Source organism: Homo sapiens, chromosome 1 (assembly GCF_000001405.40).
Source record: "Homo sapiens chromosome 1, GRCh38.p14 Primary Assembly".
Taxonomy (NCBI): Eukaryota; Metazoa; Chordata; class Mammalia; order Primates; family Hominidae; genus Homo; species Homo sapiens.
In genome coordinates, this window is record NC_000001.11 from 172,163,350 (window position 1) to 172,180,899 (window position 17,550).

The 17,550-nt window shown below is 36.2% G+C and overlaps 1 protein-coding gene across 22 annotated transcripts in view; it reads left to right on the forward strand.

Annotated features, from left to right (window-relative positions):
• The window catches only part of DNM3 (dynamin 3), a 576,969-nt gene that overhangs the window by 321,852 nt on the left and 237,567 nt on the right, over window positions 1-17,550 (forward strand). For 5 of the 22 annotated variants that reach the window (XM_017000979.2, XM_017000976.2, XM_017000977.2 and 2 more), the window contains one exon: window positions 2,211-2,354. The exons of the other annotated variants lie outside the window; for them this stretch is intronic. In XM_017000979.2, the coding sequence (XP_016856468.1) occupies window positions 2,211-2,354 (144 nt within the window). The remainder of the gene's footprint in view (window positions 1-2,210; window positions 2,355-17,550) is intronic. 22 annotated transcript variants of the gene reach the window in all.

Genomic DNA, 17,550 nt, shown 5'->3' on the forward strand with positions numbered 1-17,550 from the left:
TGCCTTAGCCTCCTGAGTAGCTGGGACTACAGGTGCATGCCACCATGCCCAGTTAATTTTTTGTATTTTTGGTAGATACGAGGTTTCGCCATGTTAGCCAGGATGGTCTCAATCTCTTGACCTCGTGATCTGCCCCCCTTGGCCTCCCAAAGTGCTAGGATTACAGGCGTGAGCCACTGTGCCTGGCCAATATTCTTAACTATAGTCACCATGCTGTACAGTAGGTTTCCGGAACTTAGTTTGTTGTATTACTGAAAGTTTGTACCCTTTGAGCAACACTTCCCCATTTCCTCCACCACCCCCAGGCCTCTGGCAACAACATTTTCTACTCTCTTTTTCTATGAGTTCAACTATTTTAGATTCCTTGTAAGTGAGATCATGCACTATTTGTCTTTCTGTGTCTGGTTTATTTCACTTAGCATGATGCCCTCTAGGTTCATCCGCATGGTCACAAATGGCAAGATTTCTTTCATTTTTAAAGCTGAATATTTCATTATTTCATATGTATGTATTTCATATGTGTATATGTATGTGTATATATGTATATATGCACATGTGTATATATGTATATATGCATGTGCATATATACACATGCATACATATATATACACACACACACACACACACACACACACACATCTCACATTTTTTTTTATCCATTCATCTGTTAAGTTGTTTCCACATCTTGGCTATTGTGGATAATGCTGCAATGAATGTGGGGTTGAGACTTTATAATGAACTAACCACTAACTGAGCTTTTTCAAATAAGAAAGTACAGTTGAAAACAACAGTAGCTTCCTACTTAAAGTAATAAAGGAAAAGGGGAGAGAATTCGTGTTTTATTTGTCTTTTTCCTTTTCTCTCTCTATTTTCTTTTCTTTTCTTTTTTTTTTTTTTTGAGGCCTTACTATGAACCAAAATAATATGACACAATCTAAGGTGACAGGCAGTGTTAAGGTCTGTGTTCAGGTTAGGGTGCTATTACTTAGTATTACAGCCAGAGGATCAGAAATACCCAAGTCCTCTGAGACTACAGCAATCACTTCCCCTATGGTTGCTGAGGATGCAATAATGGCAAAGAAAAGCAAAATAACACCTTGTTATTTTCTGGGGATTTGTCCCCAAATCTTAGTGCAAAAAACTCTGGCCAGCCAGGCCAGACCATGTATCTGGAGCAACCACTTCTCCTGAGGTGGTGAGGCATAGGTAGCTTCAAATCAAAGGAGGCCTTTACTATCCCAATGTTCATACCCAAGTTTTTGCGTCTTATCATATTCTAACCACACATAAAAGGACATCAGCCTTGACCCTAAAGATGCCAAGCACATGACGGTGTAAACCAGAGGGACAGCTATGCCTGTGTGTGCTGATCTTTTCCTGTTAATCCCTTTAGCAAGGGTGGCCCAATCTACCAAACCATAGCCACTCCTGCTCCTGGAGGACAGAGGCAGTGTATGAGGAAGGTAGTGGGAGTGGTTTTAAAGGACCCTTTTTCCTAAGGGCATCAGACATGGTAACCCTAGGGTGGTCAAAAGTGGCTGGGCTACACTGCAGTTCTTCTAGTCATTTGTTTCAAAGCCCAAAGCAAGCATGCCTCCTGTTTATACTAATGGCACATGTAACCCTTTTTGTCCTGAGGCTGAGTACTTGGCACAAACACAAGCTGGTCATTTTAACCAAGAGTACAATGTAGTCTGGAGATCCAGTGTTATTAATTGTCCATTTTCAGCCTATCTAAAGGAGCAATCTTAGTAAATCCACTTACATGTATGTGCATGTTAAAGACCTAACTGGTCTTTAACCTGATTCCTTTTTCAAAAATACAGCTTTACTGGGTGAAGTGTAAATGGAAACTCTCTACTATTCTTCCAATGCTTTGGTAAGTCTAAAATTATCTCAAAAAAGTTTTTTTAGAAAGTGGAAAATAAAAGATAGAACAAAATGACAATCTCTTTCAGGGGAAAAAAAGGTGAGAGTAACAGAGTAAAGATATTTTACTTTAAGGAAGTAAAGATATTTCTGCATGTTTAATATTTATACGCATACACAAAATACAGCTTTTATGATACCACACTGCTCAAAAACTCTTAGTGACTTCTTATAATTTATAGGTTGCAGTTCAAATTTGTTAGTCTTGGAATGTAAAGGTCTCTTAAATTGAGCCCCAGCCTACCTTCCCAGCATTATAGGTTACTATTATCCTGCTCCAGATCCCTAGCCAAACTGGGCTCCTCCCTGACCTCCAGCAGGGATTTCCCCTTCTACCTCATGAAATCTACAGCAACCAACGCTGCAAGGAACATTTAAATTCTTACTTCCTTCAAGAAGTCTTCCCGGATCACCTCCAACTCAAGGTAATACTTTATTCCTCTGTGACAAATGTTGCATAGAAATCTTTAATGCTTCTTTAAAATATATTATTTTTAATATTCATGTTATGTGCTTATGTCTCATCTCTCCACTAGAATTTTTAAGCTATTCAAAGTCAGGACCTTATATATTTTTTTGAATTCTTCACATTGCCTAAAACCTTAATTAATTAAGGAATCCCACAAACTTTTATCAATTATCTTTTTTGTGCCAGGCACTGTGCTGGGTGCTTGGAATATAAAGCATAATAAAAAGATTTCTTAAGGAAGCCTTTCTTGTTTCCCCCTGGCCAGCTTAGAGGGTCTCTCTTCCGAGATCCCATTGCATCCTGTCCTAATCACTATCTTATTAATACTCAGGGGTATTGCACCATATGGTTTGTGGAGTATGTGTCTGTTTCCTCCAGGATGCAAGCACCTTAAGAAGAGACACTTGGTCTTTTTTCATTATATCCCCTGAACTCAGAATAAAAATGTAGAAATGCTCAATATATGTGTGCTGAATGAGAAACTGCAGCTGAAAGTTGTGGTTGGTTAGTGGAATAATTATAGCTGATACCCTCAATTAAATAGGTGATTAGCTTTCAAACAAAATACATTCTTGTGATTTCTTTTCTTTCTCCTCTTCCAATTAATGTATATTTTTAATCATCATCACTAAAGTACCTCACGACATAAGTTTTATATATGCTGTAATATGAATACATTTGCCATCATAGTGATCACATCATATATAGGTACTACAGATATATACAAGTTTTTTGAATTCCAGGAACAAATGTGCACTGCCAATTTGATTATCTCTAGCTATAGGTATCAAGTTAGGATTAGACCTGGATCCCCTGAAGACAAGTAATCCAACGTGGGTTTTAATCTGTTTTTGAATTCTAAGTATCTAGCGCAAGCAAGGTGCCTAGAACATAGTATACAATAAAAAGTGTTTGCAGAATTAATTATATGAATAATTACATTTCCCCATCCTACCCAACATATTTTTTTGCTAGTCATTTTAATCTCATTTTTTTATCAAAGCTGCTAAAAAATAGAACTTACTCATTTTAATTTTCTACTACTCTTCCTGCCTTTTTGCTCTAAAATCCTAAAATGCCAAAAGTGGGAGCTTGAGACTAAAAAGGAGCAACAAAGATTTATGTCATCCAGAAGTTCATTCTCAGATCTATATAAATGGCAAAGCATTGCATTCTTTTTTTTTTTTAATACTTTAAGTTCTAGGATACATGTGCACAACATGCAGGTTTGTTACATATGTATACATGTGCCATGTTGGTGTGCTGCACCCATTAACTCGTCATTTACATTAGGTATATCTCCTAATGCTATCCCTCCCCCATCTCCCCACCCCATGTCAGGCCCTGGTGTGTGATGTTCCTCACCCTGTGTCCAAGTGTTCTCATTGTTCAGTTCCCACCTGTGAGTGAGAACATGCAGTGTTTGGTTTTCTGTCCTTGCGATAGTTTGCTGAGAATGATGGTTTCCACCTTCATCCATGTCCCTACAAAGGACATGCACTCATCCTTTTTTATGGCTGCATAGTATTCCATGGTGTATATGTGCCACATTTTCTTAATCCAGTCTATCATTGTTGGACATTTGGGTTGGTTCCAAGTCTTTGCTATTGTGAATAGTGCCACCATAAACATACGTGTGCATGTGTCTTGATAGCAGCATGATTTATAATCCTCTGGGTATATACCCAGGAATGGGATGGCTGGGTCAAATGGTATTTCTAGTTCTAGATCCTTGAGGAGTCACCACACTGTCTTCCACCATGGTTGAACTAGTTTACAGTCCCACCAACAGTGTAAAAGTGTTCCTGTTTCTCCACATGCTCTCCAGCACCTGTTGTTTCCTGACTTTTTAATGATCACCATTCTAACTGGTATGAGATGGTATCTCATTGTGGTTTTGATTAAAGCATTGCATTCTTAACTGAAAATTGCTGATTCTTACTAACAAAGGAAATCTCATTTTTTTTCCATATAATTGATGCCCTCACTTATTTACTTGGGACAAACAGGTACATAATTTGCCTTCATAGAATTATCAAAATCAGTGTACTGAAAATTTAAATGCAGTCACAATTATTTAGTTCATGTTGCTCCAAAATATCACATTAGGAACTTGAAGTAGAGAGACTTCGAGTTGTTAAACTGTGTCTTGATAACTCATATTACCACAGTAAGATTTTTTTTAAGTGCAATTTCCTGCAAAGTGGAGATTAATTCCTGACGCTTTGAGGTTTTGGGTTCTTCAGATAAAAGACTACAAAGGGAAAACATGAACATACCATCTCCGGGAGTAATTATACTCTTTAGCATTCATGGATGTTATGCTATTTTCCTCAACATTAGCACAACTTTGCCCTATTTCAGAATAAAACAAACATTTCCTTATGGCTTTAACTACCTATATCATAATTCACTGTGCAATAGCTTTCAGTGCTAGGATGTTAGGTAAATACTTGATTAATGAGTTACTTTAGATTACTAATCATTAAATATGGTCTCCCTTTTTTTTTTGTCTTTTCTTAAAATATTAACTACACTGGGAAAGCAAGAAAGCACACCTGCCATTTCCTCACTATGGGCTATCATTTCTCCTTGTATGTGTTAACACAGAGAATAAAGGAGAATCCTGTATATTTTAACAAAAGGTTTAGTGGTCATAGCAGGGTGAATGCTTTAAATAGGGCTGAGTATGCAATTGTTCTATTATCGAGACAATTGCCTGATTGAGAACAGCTCTCTGGAAAAGCTCCAAGTATGTGTCCAGATTACCACAGGGTGCTTGGAGTGATTAGAATTGCTCATGAGCAACCAAATGCTCTGGCTTGTCTCCACTAAGCAATTGAAGTATATGGGATCCTGAGAGACATGACTTAGTTGAAAGTATTCTCTTCCTGTTCTAGCTTTCTTTGCCTCACTGGAAATATTAAATGCACAGCAGACCTCTATACAGGAAGCCCAAATGCAGACATTAGGTTTGCAAGGTGTCCCCAGCCAACTCCACATGAGACAGGCCCCTCACACGGTCTTATTGCCTATAGAGTCCTGCTCTGATGAGAACTTTCAGACATTTTAAAATTAGGCATAGATTATCAAGCTGCACCAAATTGCCAAGTTGCAAAACCCGAAGATTATCAAGGGGTTTCTTGGTAAAAGATTATCAAGAAGGGGTTTCTACTATGTTGTAAGAGGTGAAACTTGGCATACATTTTAAGACGAACATGGTCCTTTTGCATTTGAATTTTCAAAGGTGCAAATAATTATAAGTCAGGGATGGTGAAAATAGTAGTAGTCTTTGGATATATACATTAGCTTTTTTCTTTTGAGCGCTCACCATAGTATATCTTGCTCAGTTATCATCACCATGCAATTTTTTTTATAAGACAGAATCCTTCCCTATTTCTGCAATTTGTTTGGAATGAAATTCCATATTGAGGGGATATTCCTCCATTGCAGATACTTTTAAGAAGAAGCCTCTCTACCAATTCTCCATCAACCTGAATGAGCTGAGTTTGGGTACTCTCAGAGCTTGAATGGGTCAAATACTCCTTTATTTGCCACTTGGGCTCCTAATTACCCCAAGTCCTGTCTTTTTAGCTACATCTCTGTGACTGCTGCTTCTCAGAAGAAAATGATTCATTCTGTTATTTTCATGAAATCATGAAGAATCCCATAATCTTTTCATCCTATCATTGGGCATTTAGTCTTAGGGAAAACAACATTTTGCCTAAGGGTGTTTGGTTTTCAAATGGTTGAGCCTGACTTTTTGGCTTCTAAGGCCATGGCCACTAATGCCACTGAGCCTTGATCAAATTGCCCTTAAAAATATTGTAGTTAATATAAGCCTTTGAGTTTGGCTTATATTAACTAGAATATTTAATTCTAGAAATTAATATTACTAGAATTAATAATAACCAGAAAGATCTAGGGTGACTTAAAAGAAAACTTCATGAACAAGATTGACTTACTAGAAAGCATGTTTGTAGGCATGAACATAGGTTAATATTATTCCATTTACTGGCTGAGTGATGTCAGGCTAAGCTGTTATTTGATGTGAACATCAGTTTCTAATAACTAAAAAATGGTTTGTTGTGATATTTAAATGAACTATCCATAATTTTGTTTCTTTTTTCTTCTTTTGAAGAATTTTGATTTTCAGTTTTAACATCAAGGAACCAAGGGCAAAACTTAACAGCATAATGTTGGGTTTTACAGTGTGCAAAGAAATCCCTTGAAGCTCTGTTTATAAACTTAGTTGCATTTTTTTCTAAGTATGTTTAGGAAGCAGATTTGGAAGGAGCTAGAGATCTATGCACTACAAAGCACTAGCTTCTAGATCAATGTTTTCAGCAGGGAAGGATTAGGCAGTAGAAGAATATCACATGAAGATAAGCTAGAGAGTTTTTTGTTTTGTTCTATTTATGTTTTAAATTCATATACATTGAACTTTAATATATGTTAAATACTTATTTTTAAGTCCTCTCAATATCAAGTGGAGGTGCCATTAATATTCCCATTTAGTAGATAAGGAAACAGGCTTGGGATGTCAGATATCTTGCCTCATGTCTCATGGCTAATAAATGGAGAAGCTGCTATGTGAACACAGATGTGCTAGACTTAAGCATTTAACAACAAAGCAGGAGGGTAAAGATGCACGGGGCCCACTCTGGAGTCAGGTCACCACTTACTAGCTGTGAAACTTGGGTTCTTAATCTCTGGGTCTCTTCAGTTTCATATCTATAAAATGTGAATGTGAATGAAAATAGGATTAAATGAGTTAATGTGTGTAAGGCTCCTAGTATGGGGAAATGAAATATAGTAAGAACTTCAGTGTTAATTGCTGTTGTCAGTATTACAATTGTTTGTTAATGACAGTCATTTTAGGGTAATCTGTTTAGAATTTATGAATGGCATATCACAATGCTGTTTTTTTGTTTGCTTTGTTTTTCTGACTGAAGGAGCCAGGGAGCATTTCAGTAGGCATTCTCTACATCTCACCTTCTCTAGTCTGCCCACAAATCCCATCATAAATTCTTGCACAGTCCATGTTTGAAGAAGACTGACTGGTGCATTGCACCTTTTTATAACTAAATCATGGAGAAGAAAAATTGCATTTCTGAGTTTCTAGGGGTCATGCCAACTCTGTCTTCATTTTATACTAAACTAAAAAATAGAGGGGAAAAAAGATCTGGCTGAGGTGATATTTCTATACTGTTAGAAATAGTGACGTTATTTTTCATGAGCCTGGAGTTTTTAACTTCTGCCCATTCTTTAATTCATGATCTCTTCTGTATGCTGGTCTTGTTTGTTTGCTCCTTTTCAACATAACTTCTGAGAAATAGAGATTGATTAGTTTTGTGCCTCAAAGGACATACCTCCAATTGCTCTAATAAGTCCAAAGGAAGATGTGAGGAATAGCACATAATTCCAAACAGAAGAGGGTTTGTAGCTGGTATGAATTAACTACTGATCTTGATTCTTCCTCCCTATACTTACTCTATATTACCTTCTTTATTCAAGTTCAACTATTTTGACTTTTGGGGACATGTAACAATAAAAATGCTTTCTTTCTAGTTATTATGATCATGTTATTGAATAATTCATTATATATATTTTTAAATGGAATTGAATGCTGTATGATAAAAGTATATGAATAGTTTTTGCATTAGAAGGCAGAAGAAAGTATGTGAGTTGAATATAAGAATGAGTTCCTCTGAGTAAAAAGTTACATTTCGGAGAGGTATGACTGCACCTACCTATTTACTACAGAAAATAGGTTAGCTGTGCATTTTATCCAAACTTGTTATTTACTTGTCATTTTCCATTTAAAACAGTTAGGTAGAGTAGCTGTATACTGTCTACAACTGCTGTGCAGAAAGACCTCAGTGCCAGCTTCTCCTTGGTGTAGAGTGAAGAGATACAATCATGCTTTGGAAAATGTGTTGATATCAACCTTAGACAGAAGGGTTAGGCTGAAGACAATCTCTCACAATGATTGTAAAATTGACTTAACCAATACTTACCGTGTGGTTATCTTCAGTAGTGCTAATTTCTGTACTCACAAGATAGATAGAAGTAAATAGGACAGTGTCAAAAAAATTTCTGTAAATAGTAGTTATTGAGTCTTTATTCTCTTCATTGCAGAGGGAAGCTGAGAAAAGGGGATGGGGGATTATATTCCAGACACAAGAAATCTCCAGTATGGAGGTTTGGGAGCATCAAAGAATGGGACTGGAGAACAGCACCTGGTGCCTGTTGAGTAAGAGGTGCTTGCTGCTTATTGAATTGATAAATATTTATTGATGGAGTAAACAGGGTGCTGTGAGAAGAATGATGGGAAACAACCCTCTGGGATGTAACAGGGAAAGGGTAGAGAGCCCCCTAAAGAACTGAAACTCCATCTTCTCAGTAAGTAGTTAACAACTTGGGTGCTGCTGCCTAGTGAGGAAGCCCAAGTTCTTCATAGGTGTGTCTCCAGGCCTTCACTTATTCATTTTTGTTACATCTGCAAATACAGTAGTCCCCCCTAATTCACAGGGACTACATTCCAAGACTCCGCATAGATGCCTAAAACCACAGATAGTACTGAATCCTATGCATACTATGCTTTTTTTCCATCTGATAACCGAGACAGCTACTAAATAACTAACAGGTGGTTAGCAAAGACAGCATGGATACGTCGGACAGAGGGATGATTCATATCCCAGGTGGGATGATGGGAGATTTCATCATGCTACTCAGATTGGTGCACAGTTTATAACTTATGAATTGTTTATTTTTGAAATTTTTCATTTAATATTTTTGGACCACAGCTGACCACAAAAGAGTAAAACTTGGGGAAAGCAAAACCATGAATAAGGGGACTACTATACTTACTACTGTATTGATATCAGCCTTATGCTGAGTTGGTGGGTCATGTGACCAATAGAGAAGGGTACAGTTCTATGTAAATCAGAGATAAAGATAAGACACAAGATGTGATGTAATGCCAAGCCAACCACCAAAGAAAAACTGCGGAATTTAGTGAGTTATTGAAGCACTTCCCATCCCGAGTAGGCAGGACAGCATGTGTGGTTGGGAAAACATTTCTTCTTAAACAAACGGTGATGCAGTGCTGAAGAGCTACTGAAGGAAGAGTATACACTCATTTCCAGTTTTTCCAAACTTGGCATTTTTAACCATTGTTGGCCTTTTAACCTCTTTTAGTAATTCTATCTATCATTTGTGCTATGCACATAAAAAGATAGTAAGCTACCATTACAGGTGGTGAATAGCTCTGGAAGGGGTTTGAGCAAGGAAACAATTTTATGAGGCTTGTATTTTAGAGAGATTATTCTGGTAGAGGTGTGAAGGATGGATTGGAAGGAGGAAAACTTGGAGAAAGGGAAAACATTTCAGAAGTGACTGCAATGTGTGAAAGATGATGGATGCTAGAACTAAGGCACTGACGGTGAAGATGGAGAGCCAGGGATGGAAGAGGGATGTTAAAGTAATAGAATTGATGAGCAGTTGCTAAGGGAGTTGAGAGAGAGAAGAGTCAGGGATGACGCCAAAGTTTTTGTTAAAGCAAGTGAGCAGAGTGGCAGTGTCAATAACTACATAGGGAATCTAGAAGAAGATGCAGGGGGTGGGGATGTTAAATGTAATAATTATTTCAGTTTTGGATATACTGAGATTTACACACATATAAGTCATTCAGGTGAAGACATCCAATTGAAAATACAAAACTTAGTCTCAAAAGAGAGCTTTTTTTTTTTTTTTAAACAAGGTCTTGCTATGTTGCTGTGTTGCCTAAGCTGGTCTCAAACTCCTGACATCAAGCAATCCTCCCACTATAACCTCCCAAAGCACTGGGATTATAGGCTCAAAAGAGAGCTTGAAGTCCCCAAATGAATCAGGGAGAAGTCTAATTTCAAGGAATGATTTCAGGGTAAATTTAAAAAGGAAAGAAAATTATGGTTAGATTTACTTCTCATTAAAAGTATTGAAGTTTAGGGTTAATAGTTGAGATAATTCTTAGCATTAATGTTTGCCTTTCAAGGATTTAATATTCATTAATTTTGCTTGGCCTATAATTTTATATTTTGCGGTGAACATAAAGCATATTCATCCCTAACTGGAGATCTCTGCAGCTTAAGTCTTCTGGATCATATATGGCCAGGACCAAGCCAGGACAATAGTATTTAAAAGCCAAATACCTAAGAGGAATACCAAACTAGAAATCCATAACTCTGGAATGCCAAACTTGAAATTATGATGAGTTACTGGTGATACCATAGTAGTATGTTAATAAGAAAATAGTATGTTAATAATAGTATGTCATAATAGTATGTTAATAAGAAAAACTAGCTCTGTTGATTTCATTGACTAGAAATATAAATTATGTTATTCTTTATAAAATATACACTCTGCAAAATGAAGACTATGCTTTAGAATATTAGAAAATATTTCTTAAAAGTACAGTAGCCGAACCTGAAACAAATTTGATGGTTGAGTATAGAATGATTTTTTTTTCTCCTTTTTTTCCTGGGCTTGAGTCCATCAGCTTAGGAAGGAAATATAAATTAATGGAACCTAAGTTTAAATTTTAAATCCAAGGTTTTGAGACCTGTCCTGCTGAACTGTGGATCCATCGTGAATATGCTCTGTTTTGAAATAAATTTGTCCATAAATGATGGAGGAAGATTTCAGACCAAAAAACACTTTTTTCCTTGGCTACATCTGAGACTTGGATACCCACTCTTGATTTTTGCTGTTTGGTTTAGAAGGGACTGACAAGTTACACGTTGTTGATTTATCTTCCTTGGCTGACATTTTTTAACAAATGTCTCAGTGTTAGAGTTGGTGTTGTGCTTGATGTTTTCTCTTCTTACTCTTTAATATCACTTGTTAATTTACCTTATATCAGAAAAAGCATGCAACATATGTGTTAGTAATGATGTCTACTGAGGGAAGATTGGCAGACTATCCTATGAATGGTATGTAGACTGCAAGTAGATCATTTTGTGTTTTATATTTTCACAAATGGGTGAAGGATATTGCTGTTTCAGGTTTACTCTCTAACATTGAGGGAAACTACAATAGGAATTCATTATGAATATTAACAAATATTTTCTGAATAAGATATCACAAAATGGTTCAGAAAGTTTCCATAATTTATCTAAGTGGCTTTATATCTTTCAAGAACAGAAAGTCGAATAGTGGGATCAGCATCAAGTTGTGGATATACTGATTTTTAAAAATTATTATCTTATTTCATATGGAGTAAATTTAGTTCATTGAAGCATACAGCATTCTAACAAAACAAGTACCAGGGAATTTTATTTCTAACAACAGTTTACCAATCTAATGGCCATATACCCTCTCCTGACTTTAGCCAGGCACCTTACAAAATACTGCTGTTGTTCACACGGGAGACAAGGAGATGAGTATGACTGGATCAGCAGAAATGTATTCCTACTTTTGGAAAAATAATGAAAAGCACACACACTGGCTCTGAATCAGTAATATCTTTATTTGCAAACAATAATCTTCTTTTACTAATTATGTATAAACCTTTGTTTTCTTCTTTAATTTTTACAAGTGATTACAAGTAAACTGATATAGCAGGGAAATCATATATTTCAGTGCCTCAAAACCTGTTAATATTGATTTATCCATTAGTTATCATTGAATACTTACTATAGTTGTAGATTGTGCCATGGGAAAAATAGAGAAAATGTAAGGTATGATCCTAATTTCTTAAAGACCTGACAGTAAGAAATGGAAGTATCCATTCATATATTTAATTTCAGTGATGTTAGAAATCCCATATTCTTTGAAGCTAAGTAAGTGGTATAGATAATAAGTACAAATAAGAAACTGGAGGAAGGAGATTCCTCCAAGAACTAATAGCAAGAAATAAAATTTTGTGAAGGAGATGGGAGCTAAGGTGCACTTTTGGTAAACATTTTATTATAACAAATTTCACACGATCAAATGTTGAAAGAATTTTACATTGAATATTAGTATGCTCTCTACCACACTGTTGACATTTTACTATACTTGCTTTATCACATATTTGATATATTTTAATGATAGGTAGAAATTGGACAGGTCCAGCTAAAAGGATGAAAGTTTGCTCAAGAGTGGGAAAAGTTAGAAGGTAGATTTTGTGGTAGACATGCTCCAGTGGTCTCTATACACATTCTTTATAATCCCCTCTCATGTTGTTTCAGGATTGGTCTGTGTAACTGTGGTAGGCTAAGTAATCCCTCCAACCCTCCCAAGGGTGTCCATATTTGAATCCGTAGAACCTGTAAATATGTTATCTTATATGGCAGAAGTGACTTTGCACACGTGATTTGTGAATAAGTTAAGGATTTTGAGATGGAGAGATTATTTTGGATTATCTAGGTAAACCCAGTGTAATCATAGGGTCTGTTTAAGGGGGAGGCAGTAGATTCAGAGTTGAAGAGAAGATATAGGGTGGAAGCAGAAGTCAGAGAGGAGAGAAGATACAATTTTTCTGGCTTTGAAAGTAAAGAAGCTATGAACTAAGGAATGTAGGTAGCTTCTAGAAGCCAGAAAAGGAAGGAAACATTTTCCCCTAGAGCTGGTCATAGGAATGCAGCTCTGCTGACCCATTTTAGACTTATGATCTCCAGAACTGTAAGGTGATAAATTTGCATTGCATTAAGCCACCAAGTTTGTGTTAATTTGTTACTGCAGCAATAGGAAACTAGTGCCGTGACCAACAGAATATGGCAGGAATTAGGGCCTGTAAATAGCCAGGTTAGTGAGCTTGGATGTTTCCCTGGTCAGATCTTCAGATGATTACAGTTCCAGTCAGGAGCTTGACTGCAATCTCTGGGAGTCCCTGAGCTAGAATCACCTAGCTAAGCCAGTTACAGATTCCTGACCCACAGAAATGTAAGATAATCAATGTTTACTGTTTTAAACATCTTAGTTTGGGGGCAATTTGTTATGCAGCAAAAGATAACTAATTAGTACAGAGTGAAAAGGTAGGTTGAGAGGGATTGTGTACAGTTTTGAATGCTAGACTCATTGCCTTCTCAGTGGGGAACCCCAGAAAGTTTTTAATCTGTGAAGTGACCAACTCAAAATAATAGCAAGATTGATCTATTTGGATATATTATAGAAAAGAGGTTGGAGGGAGGAAAAATAGATGTAGTAAATTTAGATAATAATATTAGATATTGTAACGAAAGCCTGCTCTAGGGCTATGAATATAGGAAGGGAAAGGAAAGAACATAGATCAAACTACAAAGAAACTCAGTAGGACTTGGTGACTGAAGGTGCTTAACGCAAAGGGAAACTGAGGAATTGGCGATGGTGTGTTTTGAGTTTGAGAGAACAATGATATAATTCTGAAAATGTATTTTTTTCCAGTAAGAGCCAGTTTTTCAAAGTTTCTTTTGCAGTAGTCCTCTCTTATCCATGGTTTTGCTTTTGCAGTTTCAGTTACCTGTGGTCAACTGTGGTCCGAAAATAGGTGAGTGTTGTACAAGAATAGAGAGAGAGAGAGAGAGACACCACATTCACGTAACTTGTATTATAGTATATTGTTATTATTGTTCTATTTTATTATTAATTATTGTTATCAATCTCTTACAGTGCCTAATTTATAAATTCGACTTTATCATAGCTATGTATGTATGGGAAAAAAGACATGGTATATTTAGGGTTTGTTACAATTCAAGGTTTTGGACATCCACTGTGGATCTTGGAATGTATCCCCTACACATAAGGGGAAGTGGGGGCGCTACTGTACTTTCTAAAACCAAGTTGGATAATTGAAAATGTTGAGAAAGAAGTTTAGGATAAAGGACTTCATTACCTGCCTTGTGGGGGCTTAGAAATGTAAGATAACTAAGAGACAAAATTACGGGATGAGAGTAAGAGTTAGGGATGAGACAATAGGAGTAAGGGAAGTAATGTTAAAAGATACCTAACTGTGTGTTATAAAGCACTTTGGCTCTGAGTGGACTTATAGCCAACCCAGGGGAAATGCTAACAGTGATGTGGTTTTGGTATCCATAAGACAAACACAATCTGAGAGAAATGTCTCCATTGGATCTTCCTAAAGGTCATGCACATCCTCAGTATTATCCTGTGGTAAATACTATATTTTATAGGGTTTTTTTCCCTTAATGTGCCCAATGAATATACAGTCATACATTGCTTAACGATATAATTATATTCTAAAAGTTGTGTTATCAGGCGCTTTCTTTGTTGTCCAAACATCATAGAGTGTTCTTACACAAAGCTAGATGGTCTAGCCCACTACATGCCTAGGCTGTTTGTTTTGTTCCTAGATTACAAACCTGTAAAGCCTGTTTCTGTACTGGATACTGTAGGCAATTGTAACACTGTGCTAAGTATTAGTGTATCTAAACATATCTAAACAGAGGAAAAGCTACAGTAATAATACTGTCATATAATCTTATGAGACCACTGTCATTGAAGGTGTGGTCTCTTCTCAACTAAAATGTGGTTATGTGGCATATGGCTGTAATAAGAAGAAGAAAAAAATCCAATTCCAATCCATCCAACACACTGGTGTTAAAAAATAAACTTAAATCTTAAGAAAGTGTCCAGAGATTGATTTTTCCATTGAGAGTAATTTATTCATTTATTTAAAAATATTTATTGAGTATTTATTATGTACTTGAGTCTGTATAATTCTGAGAGTACAGTAGTAAATTTTTTACATATATGAAGTGAAGATGACTGGAGAGGGGAGTAGGAGGTTGATGTGTAAGTCAGAGAATCCACAAGTAAGGAAGGGATAGGAATGAACATAGATGAAGCAGTTAAAAGAAGCAAGGTAGTAAGATAGTGCATGCCGTGATGATGAAGAGAGGGAGAGAGACAGAGAGAAAGGGTGTGCAAGAGATACAGCAAGAGAGCAAAACAGAGAGAGAAAGAGAGACAGAGAATGGACCCTGGTTTACTTCAACTTCAAGCTGATGTTACAGAGATATCAATGAAAGGAAGAAAGAGTAAGTCACTGGGTTTGATTATTAGTTGATCATCAGTGATCTTTAGGATTTCATTGTCAATACAATGGTAAAGACAGAAGCTAGATTGCAGGGGGTTAAGGGGTCACCTTATGGAGATGAAATAGAATAAGTCTTATTCCAGCTCCATGGGCATGTCTCTATCGCTTTATGTCTCAGTCCATAAAATAGAGCAAAAATGGTGATCCTCCTCTAGTCTAAAATATAAGGAATGCTTTGAACTGCTGGGTGAGCTAATACTCTAAAGCCAGGGCGGTGATAGTAGTTATCTGTGTGTACTTTGAATGAAACTGGACTTAGAATGCTGAGCTAGTTGTTTTGTGGAGCCTACTTTCAGAATGTCACCTCTAATTTTGCATTCATGAAAAGCATTCTCCTGCCTGGACTAGAATCCAAAAATTTTTTGTTTATTATTAGTGGTGACTGATTGTCATTTGTGGACTGTGATCTACATGTAATGAAGTGGAATTTGGCCACTGGTTGTGTTGCAAAGCTTTTCTGAGTAGTGTTATTGCATCTTAGTTTTGACAAAGTTTGTTACTCCCACTAGTATTTAACTGGTATTAAATTCAAGATTATATTTTCATAATGTTGTTTGGAAACCAAAAGAAAATAATTGGTATGAACGTGCTTTGAAAAGTTAAAGGATTATATAAGTATTAATTATAATTATCATTAAAGTGATTTAATAGAAGTATTATTCTACTAAAATAAAATAAGAACTGCTAAATTCAAGATGTCATTGAGAAGAGGGGAGAAGTTTTTTTTGCTATGGTTTATTTCAGCTTCTGTATAACTTACATGGACTTTCTAAGAAAAATGTATACAGGCAATATTTATAAATATGTGTGTATATTTTAATGATGCTATGCCGGATCATTTCTGCTTGGATTATTTGTGGCCTTATTTAATTCTGGACTTATTTTCCAGCATAGTTTTGGGAATACAGATTCAATAATTTTTAGATATAACCAATAAGTACTGGGTGACTACTCTGTAAAAGCACTTCTTCATATCTCACATTTTAATCTTCACAATAGCTTCATCAGAGCAGGTGTTATTACTTTTTTATGTATTAAAAAACTAAGGCTCTGAGAGGTTAATTAGATTTTCGCCCATGGCGTACATAGCAGGGATTAGACGACTAGAACCCTACCATTAGTAGATAATAAGCTCAGGTGGTGAAAATCAATTAGCTTCAGTAAAGCCTAATTGTATCTGTAAATATGTTACAAATATCATACCGTGTCTCTGAGTTCTGAGTCAAATTTGCAGTGTTTTTGAAGCAGCATTGCCTTCTGTTACCTGGCTGCTCTTGTATAGTTTAGCATGAATGCATGGCAGTTTGCCCTGTAGGAACAAATCTAGTCTATGTGGATATACTATCATGATTCAGTTAGGTCTCAAGATCAGTAAATTAATTTATGTAAAGAATAAGATACTATGTATTTCGGTTTTTCAATACAGAACCATGAGTAGGAGAGTTTGTATGTTTACTGCATGCTAACCAACACTTGTTTGTTCTTTATGGTTTACCAATTTCACTCGTTAGATCCTGACTTTTACCCTGTATCGTAGATAGGGCTGAGATTATGCACCTCATTTTACTCACAAGGAAACTAAAGCCAAAGAACAGTGTGTGATTTTCTCAGTAGCCTTCAAATATATTGGCCTAGAAAATATTCTGATAGATAAATAGTCTAAGGACAAGTGGATTCATTGTAATATCTGCAATGCATTTTATTTCTTATATAATTAAGAGCTTACTGCTAGAATACAGTGTGATTTAGGTAAAACTTCTCAACATATAGCATACTTGAGGGAAAACAGAAGATCATAAAAAGTTTCCTTCTTTTATTGCAGGAATAGCATATGATTTATTTGAAGCCTAATTATTTTCCAGAGGAATGCTCTACATGTTTCCAATAGCTGTTTTGTGTTTCTGTAGAGGGTTAGAGGAGAAGCTGCCAGTTTCCTCCCAATACTGATGTTGCAAATCTCAGAACTTTAATCTGGAACACTCTCCTCTGTTATGTATATGTATGAAAATTTGCCCTACCTATTACCTTACTTTGGCATGTGGCATTTACTTGTGAAAAATGTCACAATATCTAATAGTTTATTTCCTACTCA